At 51.4% G+C, this 12,656-nt stretch overlaps 1 protein-coding gene across 18 annotated transcripts in view, besides 1 other annotated feature; it reads right to left on the bottom strand.

Moving 5' to 3' along the window:
• The window catches only part of NOD2 (nucleotide binding oligomerization domain containing 2), a 39,470-nt gene that overhangs the window by 10,688 nt on the left and 16,126 nt on the right, over positions 1–12,656 (bottom strand). For 5 of the 18 annotated variants that reach the window (NM_001370466.1, XM_017023536.2, XM_017023537.2 and 2 more), the window contains 4 exons: positions 10,015–11,830; positions 5,718–5,801; positions 5,414–5,497; positions 2,380–2,463 (listed from right to left, as the gene is read on the bottom strand). In NM_001370466.1, coding sequence (NP_001357395.1) covers positions 2,380–2,463; positions 5,414–5,497; positions 5,718–5,801; positions 10,015–11,830 — 2,068 coding nt within the window. Of the gene's footprint in view, positions 1–2,379; positions 2,464–5,413; positions 5,498–5,717; positions 5,802–6,632; positions 6,780–6,906; positions 7,381–8,798; positions 9,636–9,750; positions 11,831–12,371; positions 12,445–12,656 lie in introns of those variants that run through there. The other 13 variants (XM_047434453.1, XM_047434452.1, XM_047434454.1 and 10 more) reach the window with 11 other exon arrangements.
• Positions 12,158–12,363: a silencer, noted in NCBI's record as "fragment chr16:50743936-50744141 (GRCh37/hg19 assembly coordinates)". NCBI's record gives its function as "represses an EF-1alpha promoter that drives an FKBP-Casp9 reporter gene in an ReSE screen in HepG2 liver carcinoma cells {active_cell/tissue: HepG2}" and the evidence as "EXISTENCE:reporter gene assay evidence [ECO:0000049][PMID:32094911]".

Below are 12,656 nucleotides of genomic sequence, written 5' to 3'. Positions count from 1 at the left end.
GAGAATAGTAGAGGGCTACCCAGCCCTAACCCTTAAGGACAGGAACTCACTGACAAGAGTAATTTACAGTTGTGACACTTTTTCTGACACTTAGTTCAGATACGCTTCCTGGTAACTGCCACCCACAAGTCCTTAGCTACCCTCCAGTACCTGCCCATAACAAGTCTAACACTTCTTCTGCAAGCTAGCTCTTTATCTCCTGCTTCTTCCTAACACCCCTAATTCCTTCACGCCATCAGCTTCAACTCCCCCAGCTTCTGGGCCATCCTCCTCTGACTCACTGTAGTTTGAAAACATCCCTTTCCAAAAGGTAGATCCCAACTCACACCTTCTGACTTATTGACTGTATTCTAGGGACCTACCCTGGACAGGTATGTACACAAGTTAGCAAAGAATGGCTGAATTAGGATGTCCACTGTACTTTCATTCATTAGGTATGTATCGATTGAGCTCTGGCTATGTGCCAGCACTGCTCTGTGCCCCAGGGATATGACACTGTAATAACAAAAAACCTGAAAACAACTTAATAGTCATCAAAAAGTGACCAGTTAAATACATTATGTAACACTCTGCAGCTCTTTGAAAAATGAGGTCAGGCTGAGCAAGGTGGCTCACTTGTGTAATCCCAATACTTTGGGAGGCAAAGGAGGGAGGATCACCTGAGCCCAGGAGTTTGAGACCAGCCTGGGCAACATAGTGAGACCCCGTCTCTACAAAACATAAAAATATCGGCCAGGCATGGTGGCTTGTGCCTGTAGTCCCAGCTACTCAGGAGGCCGAGGTAGGAAGATCACTTGAGCTCAGGAGTTCAAGGCTACAATGAGCTATGATTGCAACCACTGCACTCCAGCCTGGGTGACAGAGTGAGACCCTTTCTGTAAATATTAGTAAAATAAATAAATAGATAATTAAGTAAATAAAGAGGTCATAATGACCTAAAAAAATTCCTATAATATATGGCGAAGCAAAAAAAAACAACAACAAAAACAAAACAAAACAAACAAACAAACAAAAAAAAAAACCAAGCAAGTTACAGAACACTTTGTATCATATGACAGCGTTTGGGGGTTTTAGCACAACGCCTGGCCCAGACAGGTGCCCTAATAAATATGTGTTGAAAGAGGTAAATACCCCTGATGTGGCAGATGTGACCTCAAGCAGAAGAGAGTTCAGTGGGGCTGTGGCCTCCTTTGTTCTAGACTCTGTTGCTACTAATGCAGTGTGGAAAAGATGTTGATTTCTAGAGCAACATAGTCCCATTTGTGGCTCAAACTGAGCTTGGGGGCCGGGTGCGGTGGCTCACACCTGTAATCCCAGCACTTTGGGAGGCCGAGGCGGGCGGATCATCTGAGATCAGGAGTTCAAGACCAGCCGGGCCAACATGGTGAAACCCTGTCTCTACTAAAAATACAAAAATTAGCTGGGCGTGGTGGTGGGTGCCTATAATCCCAGCTACTTGAGAAGCTGAGGCAGGTGAATCGCTTGAACCAAGGAGGCGGAGGTTGCAGTGAGCCAAGATCGTGCCACTGCACTCTAGCCTGGGCAACAGAGTGAGACTACATCTCAAACAAAACAAAACAAAACAAAAAACTGAGCTTGGGGGCAACTTGCCTCCCTGTGAAATGGGCTGGAACACCTAGGCCCTAAGGTTATTCTCTCTTCCTACAGTCCCAGGTTCTAAAACTCCCAGTTCTTGTCAAATGGACTCCAGTTCACACTAGGGCATGACAGGATAGGAGAGAGGCTGCTGGAAACAGCACAGGTGCAAGCCTGGGTGCCTAGCAAACAGAGGAAGCCCACCCTGGGGCTGCAGGTTGGGGTACTCCCCTCCCTGGCAGGCCCTAGCATGGTCCTACAGGGAGCAAGAGCTCCGAGGGACCTAGCACAGCCCCTCTTATCCTGGGTGCCTTCCTATCCTTCCCCATTTCCTTCTCTTTCTTAGGTCAGGGGTCCTCACCCCTGGCTGTACATCCCCTGGGAAGCTTTTTAAAACTCCTGATACCTGGGCCTTGCACCTAGATATTTGCATTTCATCAGTCTGGGGTGGGAGGCCTGGCAATAGTGTTTAGAAGCTTCCAGGTGGTTTTAATATGCAGCTAAAGTACAGCCCTAGCGCCCCCTGAGGATCAGAGGGCTTCCTGTCACCAGCTCGTGGGCACTGTCCTCCCCTAGCCCCAACATCCCAAACTTCCTGTTTGTCAGGCATAGACCAAGTATGAAGGTGGCAGTCAAGGGCCGCCCACTCTCTCCCTGGCTTGTCCTCCCCACTGGAGCTGGGCTGCCTCTGGGGCCTCCTGGCTGAAGAGTTTCACCTGCCCCTAAATCCTCAAAAGTCCCAAGCCCCTCCATGCAGGTCCCTCTTCCTGGAATCCAACCTACCCCAGGAACTGCAAGGAGGTGTTGCCTCGGAGCCCCTCGGCCAGCACTTGGGCTCCCGCGGCAGTGATGTAGTTATTCCCCAGCCTGGAAGGGAAGACAGAGGAGGCTGAGAGAACACAGCGGCAGGCAGAAAAGGAGGGCCGTCTGTGCCCTGGCCAGGGAAACACAGGAAGAAAGCATTGAAGACCTGCCCGGGAGGCAGCAGCCACATCAGGTGCCCTCGCTGCTAGGTCTAGTTTACTCAGCGGCTCCCACAACTTCATTTTCCCCCAGCAAAGGGAAAGGGGCAGCGGGACGCTGTTTGCACAGCAGTGTGACAATTCCAGGCAGGAGCCACAGTAGGCAGCTGTCCTGGGAGGTGGTTTCCCCGGGACAGCGAGGGTGACTCAGGGTCACACCTTTCCCTCTGGTCTCAGCCGCCCTCGATCCAGACCCCATCGTGCCCTCTGCAGCCTTCCCAGATCTGTTGTTGCTACAGGTAGGCTTTACCTGTTGCACAAGAGCGCTGGGCAGGTCCAGGTGGCTGGAGGGAGGGGTGGGGCCCACTGAGCCTTCCAGAAAGGAAGGAGAGAGGGAGGGCCAAGGCTAGGGGTGGGGGAAGATCCCAGCAAGGAAGGCTCCTGCTGCAACTGAATCCAGACACCTCGGAGAGCTTCGGAGAAGCCCCAGAGCTCTCACCTGCAACCCTAGGCTTCCTGGGATAACTATACGCTTTCATTCTTTCAAGGAACGTCAAGCCACTCAGCTCACAACAATCCTATAAGGCAGATATTATTGTATCCTTGGAGAAGGGGTGTGGCAGCTAGGAGAACTCGCCTTTCAGGTCTCCAGCCTCAGCTCCTTGGAGGTAGCCAAGGGCCCCAGCTGCTGTGCTCCAAAATCTAACATCCTCGCATCTGCACTTGCCAGCCCCTGCCTGAGACATCAGGCTCCCCTGCCTGGTGAATTTGGTTCAAGAACTCCTCATCAGCCTTGCCAAGATGTCTTAGGACTGCACTGAAGTCCAAGGTGCCCAGTCTCAACCTTCCTTCCTTCCCTCTCTCCTTCACTCAGGGACACACCTCCCAGCCTCCCCCAGCTCCCTTCCCCACTTCCCCTTTTAGGACTTTTCCCCAATAAATGGGTGGCACATTGAATCCCTGCTTGGAGGACCGGACTCACATAAGGAGAAACAAGCTGAGTGCTTGTGTGATTTACCCATCATCTTTCAGCCACTCGCTTACTATATAAAGCCCCTGCCAGACGGTGCAGCCCTTCATGTGGATTAACTTGCTTGCTCATCACTACAGCCTGTGAGGTAGCCAGGGTTATTACCTCCATTCTACAGAAGGGGAAACGGAGGCACACAGACATTGGGCTGACCTGAGGTCACGCAGCTAATGAGGGTTCAAACCTCGGGCAGTCTGGCTCCAGAGCCTGTGCTCTCTATTACAATGATATACGGTAATCCCTGCCCCCTGCTTATCCGCAGCTTCGCCTTCTATGGTTTCAGTTATCTGAAATCAACTGCAGTCCAAAAATATTAAATGGAAAATTCTAGAGATAAACAATTCATACATTTTAAATTGCATGCTATTCTGATCACGTGCCATCCAGCTCCATCCCACCCAGGACGTGAATCAGCCCCCCGTCCAGCGCATCCACGCTCTATACGCTCCCATTTGGTAATCATCAAGATCGTCTGCTCCTGACATCCAGCTGCCGACCTCATTGTTGCTCAAAGATTAGGGATCTCTGGGAGCAGATGATTCTCCTCCTGAAGTGTGGTCAGGTCAACAGCAGCCCAGCGCTAGAGCACAGTGCTGCATGCGTCATCCACCTCACTTCCTCCCATCACACAGGCATTTTACCACCACACATCTTCCCAAGAAGAAGGGTGAGTACAGTACAAGAAGATATTTTGAGGGAGATGGAGAGAGTCCACATTCACATAGTGTTATTATAGTACATTGATTGTTATAATTGTTCTATTTTATTATGAGTTGCTATTACTCTCTTACTGTGCCTAATTTATAAACTACACTTTATTGCAGGTGTGTAGGTATTGGGAAAAGCATGGTATGTGTAGGGCTTGATACTCTCCATGGTTTCAGGCATCCACTGGGGTCTTAGAACATCTCTCCTGCACATACCGGAGGACTACTGTGTTGGCCACAAACTCAGCCTCCATTTCTGAAACTAGCACCCTTCTCAGGGATGGGCCAGCCAGGTCTGGCCACAGCCTATTCCAGGCTTGTGAGTCTGAGGGATCAGGCAGTGGTAGCAGGACTGAGTCCTTTGTACAAATTGGCACCTGTGGTTCTGATCTCAGTAGCCCTTGCCGAGACTGAGCTATGTGGCCCGCCATTTTAAAATGGCGGCTCCCATCCACAAACCCAGCCCAAGAGGTAAAAGAATAGATGGAAGCAATTCTTTACTTTGTCTTTTTTTACTGCCTCACAAATCACAGGAGGCAAGAATATCTGAGAGAGAGAGAAGGAGAGAGAAGCCAGGCCAACCCAGCGGCCAGCTAGAGGGGCAATTTAAAGGCATCAGGTAGGAGAGAGAGAGACTCCTGTTGAAACTGGGAGACACTGGAGTAGCAGAAATGCAGAACCAGATGGACTGCAAACCTTGCATGCTCTGAGTGGTGAAAGGACCTCCTGGGAGTGTTGCAGCAACTCGCTGCCACAGCTGGGGTGGCAAGTAACTGTGTATGCCTCCCCCACCAGGACGAGCTCAACATGCATCGTGGAACTCAGTAAACCCAGAAAGCTGTGACACTCTTAGACACAGAAAAGGAAAGGGGCCTAGAAAAGCTTTCTTGCCCTACGGGCTAAAGGTCAAAAGACAGGAAGTCCTCAGCAGAGCTAGTCCAGAGTTTACTGGGGAGATCACAGCATTAGAGAACCCCTGCTTAAAATGAGACACTGTCCCTGCATTCAATCAGGAGGTCAGGAGCCAGTGTGGGCAGTGCCAGGCCAAGACCAGATCAGACTGACTCAGGAATGGGGCAAAAAATAGTTTCCAGGGAATAAGGAAAACCTGGGCTCACCTCAATGCCAAGAAGTTCTGCCTGCATGCAAGGAGCTTAGCCATGGAGTGTGCACAGCCGTCAGTCAATTTGTTGTTGAATAGACTGTTCAGTTCCAGAAGAGAGGAGACACAGAAGCAAAGCACATTGGACAGTGAGCACCAAATCCCAGGGTTGCCCTTCCCCTCTGGGCAGGAATCACCTGCACCCCCCATCATGCAAACAGCCCCTGCCCCAGCCCATCACTCACAGCTTCCCAGGCTGCACGACCTGGGGTGAGACCAGGGCACTTGGAGCCCATTGTCCACAGCCCAGGCTGACTTACGCTAACTTCTGCAATTGCTCGCAGTGAAGAGCACATTCAATGAGCTTGCAGATGCCTCGGTCTGAGATATTGTTATCGCGCAAACTAAAGAGACAAAATAAATACATTTGAAAATGGAGCTAGTAAGACAAGAAAAAAATCTACAAATCCCCCAAAAAGACTTTCATTCATCCCTGAAGTGCCAGCATCTGTGCTTCCAGGAAACCCTGCATAGATGGAGCACCCCAAAAAAGTGGAGACCCCACGGTCCCTGGCCAGGGAGGTGACGTGGTGCACTATGATGGGGATGGCCCAGGACGTAGGATCCAGACCCCCTACTAAAGAACCCTGGAATCCTTAGGAAATGACAGAGCTAATTTGAGGCAATGTTTCCATCTCTGCAAAAGGAACATGATAATCACAGCAGCCTCACAAAGGGGATGATGGTGGAAAGGAGCTGATATATGCGAAAGGTGCAGCCTGAACTAGACAGGCTACCCCTGGGGACAATTTACCATCATCTAGGTCAGCAGACAGTAGACCAGCTGGATGAGAGTGGCCAAAACTTCAGAAACAGGCATATAGGCTGTGGTTAGTGAGGCCCTGCTGCCCAGTCCTTAACCCCAATGGCACCACTCCAACAGGCTAGTCCCTGCCGAGCAAGCCCTGTCTGCCACTCCTCTTGGGGCACCATTCCCAAAACTCACCTGATCACAACATCATCTGAAAGCTTCCCTAAAAGACAGATTCTCAGGCCCATACCCTGGAGCTGGCAATCAAGTATCTGCGGGGTGGGGCCCAGGAATCTGTATATTTTAACAACTGTGCACATGATTCTTTATCTTTAGGCAAACTTGGGAGGCCCTGACTGAATGGTTAACAGCTCAGGCTCTGGAGTGCCTCAGCTGGATATTGTGATCCTGATCAGCGACTTACTAGTTATTTGCTGGTCTCTTCATCTATAAAAGAGGGAACAGGCCGGGCACGGTGGCTCACGCCTGTAATCCCAGCACTTTGGGAGGCCGAGGCGGGCGGATCACGAGGTCAGGAGATCGAGACCATCCTGGTTAACACAGTGAAACCCTGTCGCTACCAAAAATACAAAAAAATTAGCCGGGCGTGGTGGCAGGCGCCTGTAGTCCCAGCTACTTGGGAGGCTGAGGCAGGAGAATGGCGTGAACCCGGGAGGCAGAGCTTGCATGAGCCGAGATTGTGCCACTGTACCCCCTGCCTGGGCAACAGAACGAGACTCCGTCTCAAAAAAAAAAAAAGAGGGAACAATAGTATTATCAGCCTCACCAGGCTGTGCACATAAAGCCTTGTGAGCACCCGGTACACAGTAAAAGTCACCTAGAATCATGATCGCTAGCACTGATCACTACCCTTACCACTTCTCAATAATAACACTATTTCATCCTCACAACAAGCCAGTGAAATGGGAACCATTATTATGAGCATTCGTGAGAAAGAAACTGAGGCACAGACAAGCGAAGTGACTTTGCCAAGGTTGTACGGCACATAAAGGCTTTGAGCCTAGGCGGCTTGGCTCCAAACCCCACTCTTAACCATGACATTGTGCAGCTTCTCCCTCAGGGCCTCTTATGGCCACTTCTGTAGTGCAGTGATTTTTCAGACTGCAGGTTGCAGGTCATGCAAATCATTTTGAAGGTCCTGAGCAGCATTTCTAAAATGGAAATAGAACAGAACAGAAGAGAGCAGAGTGTCTCAGAGTTCATAAAGCGAAGTCATTTTGTGAAACTTAGGTTCCATGTTTACATGGTGGTGCGTGCTCTCTCTCTCTCTTTCTCAATCATTGTGGGTAACATTCAAAAAACTTTTAAAGCCATCACTCTAGAGTCTGAGAGAGCCAGAGTCTAAAGAAACCTATATAGGGGCACTGTGTATATAGGGTTTCCTAGAGGCTGAGGATTTCAGTTGGCATGGAAACACTTCAAGTGGGAGAGAGGCAGGTTGGCACTGTGGGAGAGGAGCCTGTGCCCTCCCCCTTCCTCCCTTCCTCTCTTTCTCAATCTCTCTCTCTCTCTCATACACACACACACACACACACACACACACACACACACACACAGTGCACTCACAGCAACCTCATGGTTGCTTCCCCTCCCCTACGGCCTTGGCAGTTTTAGTGTGTGTAAGGTGAAGAGCAGTAAAACTCGCTCAAGGACAGTAATTGCTAATGGAAAACCAAGCTGGTTGCTGCAGACCAGTAGTTCTCCCAGGGCGAGACCACTTGTATCAGAATCACCAGGGGTGTCTGTGAAAAATATAGATTTCCTGGGCCCCACCCCAAACCTACTGAATGGGAATCACTAGAGGCAGGCCCAGGAATCTGCATTGCCACGAGTGCCTTTACACACCACAGTCTGAGCACCATGAGCTAGAACCAGGCCACCCTCACCTTTCTCTGAACACAGAGACAGACCCACAGGTTTCCCAGAGCCCTTCTGCACACCCTGGTAATCACGGGGACATCCCTAATCAAGGATGGATGATCCATTCAAGAATTCCAGAGATGGACTGGCCTATGAGGATCACACAGGCCAGTGATGCCTGGCCTCTTGGGGTAAAAACTGAGTCTACTACCCAGGAAAATGCACATTCTTATTTCTATCAGGGAAATTGCTCCAACAGACAGGTTTCCAAATTCCCACTCAAAGTATCATGATCCTCCCTCCTAGGGAAATAGAGTTTGGTGCTGGCTGTTTTCCATTTGCCTGGCCAGATCCACTCTCCCCCTTCTCTACCCGTCCCTGGCTCCTGGGAGGCTGATGCCTGGGGACTACTCCAGCAGACAGCCCACTCGGCCTCCCTGATGGGTCCAGCTGGTGGAAGGCGCTGGCCAGGAGCAAGAGTTGGGGTGAGGAGTTAGGGCCAAGCGGTATTCTTCCACTTTGCAGAAGCTCAGGCAGCCGTCTCCATACCTTCCCCCCAGCTAATTAGTCTCCCTCCCCTTCCCCCTTCAAGTCTACCCTCCCCCAGCTGTTACTAACCCCAGGCCCCTGCACCAACCCTCTCACTCTTCCTAACTCCTGCCCATGGCTTGTAAACAATCTGTTTTTCAAACTCTCCTCAAAACACCCATTTTAAGTGTGTCATCTGTTTCCTCCAAGACCATGATGGGTATAATCATATTTACATTCATTGCATATAATACATATATATATTCGCTATATATGTTATGTATTATGTTGTTATTATGCTTTAACCTAAAGACCATGGTCCCTATGTCAGGGTTAACAAAATTCACTACACAGTTTCTAGTGGGTATCCATGTGTTTGGTCCATGATGAAAAATAAATCTTGTTGCTTTGCCCCCAGAGAAGATGTATACCATCCTAATACTCTCAGGAAGTGGTTTGTCCCATGCTTAGGGTCAATTAAGGTCATCCAGGTGTAGCCCAAAGCCCCTGGAGGCTGGGAATCAATTTTAACTTCAATCTAGAACTTCTGCTTTCCTATAGGTTCTAAATAGAAGCAGGGCAATCCCCTTTCAAGCTGGAAGGATGTTGGGGAATCTGTCGCATGCTGATCCGCAGGCCTAGGCACACCCTCTGCCCTTGCCTGCCCCCAAGATGTGGAAAGAGGCCCCCGAGTTCAGGGGCACAGATTCTCCAAAGGGCAAAACCTCACATCTTTGGCTGGGGCTCTAAGCAATACGGGTAGTGCTGAAATCCTGTTTGGACACTGTGCTACCTCAGGAATCCAACAGTAGTTGTAACCCTGCAGCCACTTTCTATTTCTTGGGTCCTGAAATTCCCATCTGGTTGGGGTGTTAAAGTCTCTGATGGGGCACAAGTCACCTCTGATTTGGTGTTGTTCCTGATACGGACACATACTACACAAAACTTTCTGCAAGTGACCTCAAGGTTTTCAGGGAGCCTCTGAAGTGTATCCATAGACTGGTGGGAGGCAGAAAACCTGTAATCAGAATGATGCAATTTGTGAACCCCAGCTCTGCCATTTCCTGGACAAGTTACTTCACTTCTCTGAGCCTCAAGTCAAGGATAATGGAGATAATAACATTCCTGCCTACCCGCCAGGGTGGTTGTAGAGATTAGATGAGGTCATTCCGGAAAGCATAGCACCAGACCCAGCACATAGGCCAGTCAATAAAGTGTGGCTGTCATCATCACATATTGAAATTAAGGCCCAGAAGGGAAGGGATCTGGGCAGTGTTGCAAAGCAGGGTGGCAGAGGCGAAGCTGGGCCCAGACTTCTAGAGCCCAGCTCGGTGCTCCCACACTTAGCCTTGATGGTGCTCCCCCATACCTGAACAGCAATGCCCAGTAACACTCACTACAGAGCCTTGCAGACACCAAGGCAAGGCAGCAGCTGCTCCACGCCAATGTCACCCACAGAGTTGTAGTCCAGCTGCAGGGCCACGGGCCGCCGGAGGTGCTGCAGCACAAAGGCCAGGGCAGCACACTCAGTGGGGCCCACACTGCAAAATGTCAACTTGAGGTGCCCAACATTCAGGCCACGTGCAGCCTTCCGAGCCAGCCGCTCCTCCTGCATCTCGTACAGGCTCCGGATGAGCCAGATGAACCCGGGCATGGCATGCACGCTCTTGGCCTCACCCGGTGCAGCTGGCGGGATGGAGTGGAAGTGCTTGCGGAGGCTGCGGGCCAGACACCAGCGGGCACAGGCCTGGCGCCGGAGCAGGGCCTTCTCAGATGTCTGGCACTCAGCCAGCAGGCCCCAGTGCTCCCGGGACAACAGCCCTGCCAGGAAGGCTGCTGTGATCTGAAGGTTGTGCGGCTCGGCCTTCTGCAGCAAAGCTGCCACGCTGCTGTCCTTTCCCTCCGAGGCCTGGATGCACATCGTGGGCAGGAGCCTGGCCATTGGTGAGTTGCCTGGCCTGCCACAATTGAAGAGGTGTCTGAGCAAAGCTGGTGGCACATCAGCACTGAGTGCCAGGTAGAACGCGGCAAAGAAGCACTGGAAAGTGATGTGAAGGAATTCCAGGGGCGCCGTACTCCCTGGCACGACACCTTTGGCACGCACCAGGAAGCCAAGAGAAATGTCATCAGGGCTGACCTGTGCTGCCTGGAGCTGCTGGGCTGAGAACACGTAGCAGCACATGCCCAGGCCCCACAGAGCCAGTCTGCCCAGGTGCAGGAGGGTGGGGAGGCGGCCCCGAAGAAGACTGGGTCCCAGACCTTGGGAAGCTGAGTCTGGGGGGGTGGCATGCAGCAGAAAATGCTGCAGAATCAGCAGGTACATATCTGTAGTGGTCTTTGGGGACCCCCCCTCCTGCAGCAACAGTTCCTGGTGGCATTTGGACACCATCCATGAGAAGACAGGCAGGTGGCACAAACCGTGCAGGGCTGAGGTCTCTTGGAGCAGGCGGATGAGGCGGTCCGCCACCCCGGGCTCATGATGGCGCTTCCTCAGGTACAGCTCGATGCCCTGTTCAGAGAAGCCCTTGAGGTTGAACTCGGTGCGGATGTACTTCCTGAGGAACGCCGACACAGCGGCCGGACGGCTGGTCACCACCTTGCGGGCATTCTTCAGCAGGTTGCCCTGCAGAAGGTTGAAGAGCAGGGTCTGGACAGAGGTGGGGTCGGTCGGGGAGCAGTGGCGTTCACGATCCGTGAACCTGAACTTGAACTCGTCAAAGCCATCAAAGGTTAACAGGACACGGTCAGGGTGGTCAAGGAGTAACTGGAAGATGTCTTCTTGACCAACATCAGGCCAACAGCAGTGCTCAAAGAGTAGAGTCCGCACAGAGAGTGGTTTGGCCATGCACTGCAGCTGCCGGCAGCTGAATGGGAAGACAAAGAGAAATTCCTGGAAGTCTTGCCCTGCAGCCCACAGCAAGTGCAGCCGCTGCAGGAGCGTGCTCTTGCCACTGCCCGCCTCACCCACCACCAGCACAGTGTCCGCATCGTCATTGAGGTGGCCAGGGGTGCTGAAGAGCTCCTCCAGGCCCAGGGTGGCTGGGCTCTTCTGCGGGGGTCCAGCCATGCCCACATCTGCCCAGACCTCCAGGACATTCTCTGTGTATATGTCCTCCAGGCAGAGCGTCTCTGCTCCATCATAGGTACTGAGGAAGCGAGACTGAGCAGACACCGTGGTCCTCAGCTTGGCCATATACTTCTTGCATGTGGCAGCTGGAAGGCAGAAGAAGAGGCAGATGAAGGTGGCACCATGGTGAAGACGGGACCTAACCAGACAATGGGCTGCTGCGGGGGACGCTGACATAACTGAAGGGATAGGAGAGCCAGCGGGCGCCCATCCTGGCTCCTCCATTCACAAGCTGTGCACTTTGAGGACAGTCAAGGAAACTTCCTAACCCTCAGTTTCCACCTCTGTAAGGTGGGAGAAATGTTGGTCACTACCTCACAGAGTTTTACACGGATCAACTAAGATGACCTATGTCAAGTGCTTAGCACAGTGTAAGTGCTCAACACAAAGTAAGTGCTCAAAAGACATCAGTGACTGCCGTTATCATTACTGACACCAGGAGGAGTTCTAGATGACGGGAAGGGGCTCTGGGCTGGGATCGGAAGACCTGTATTCTGATATCTGTCCTGCCATAGTGGCCGGGTGGCTTTGGATAAATCCCTTCACCACTCAGCCTCAGGTGACTTTTTCTAAAGGGGAACAAAGGGCTTAAGGGCTCAGGAGCCCAGTCTCTGAAGCCAGACACACCTGAGTTTGAAAACCTGGGTCCACCATACACTTGGGCAAGCCATTTAGCCTTTCTGGGCCTCAGTTCTCTCATCTGTAAAAATGGGGACAATATACACCTGGAAGGATTTTTTCAGGAGGCAGCGAGATAAAATACAGTTTAAAAGAATATCTGACATGGCAAACTCTCAAAAAATGGTGCTTATTATCATTATTATTCATGGATATAGTAGGCACAACAATAGACCCTCAAAGATGTCCATGTCCGGATTCTCAGAACCTGTGAATATGTTACCTTACGTGGCA

Source organism: Homo sapiens, chromosome 16 (assembly GCF_000001405.40).
Source record: "Homo sapiens chromosome 16, GRCh38.p14 Primary Assembly".
NCBI lineage: Eukaryota > Metazoa > Chordata > Mammalia > Primates > Hominidae > Homo > Homo sapiens.
The sequence above is the reverse complement of the archived record's forward strand: the minus strand, read 5'-3'. Positions and strand labels throughout refer to the sequence as shown.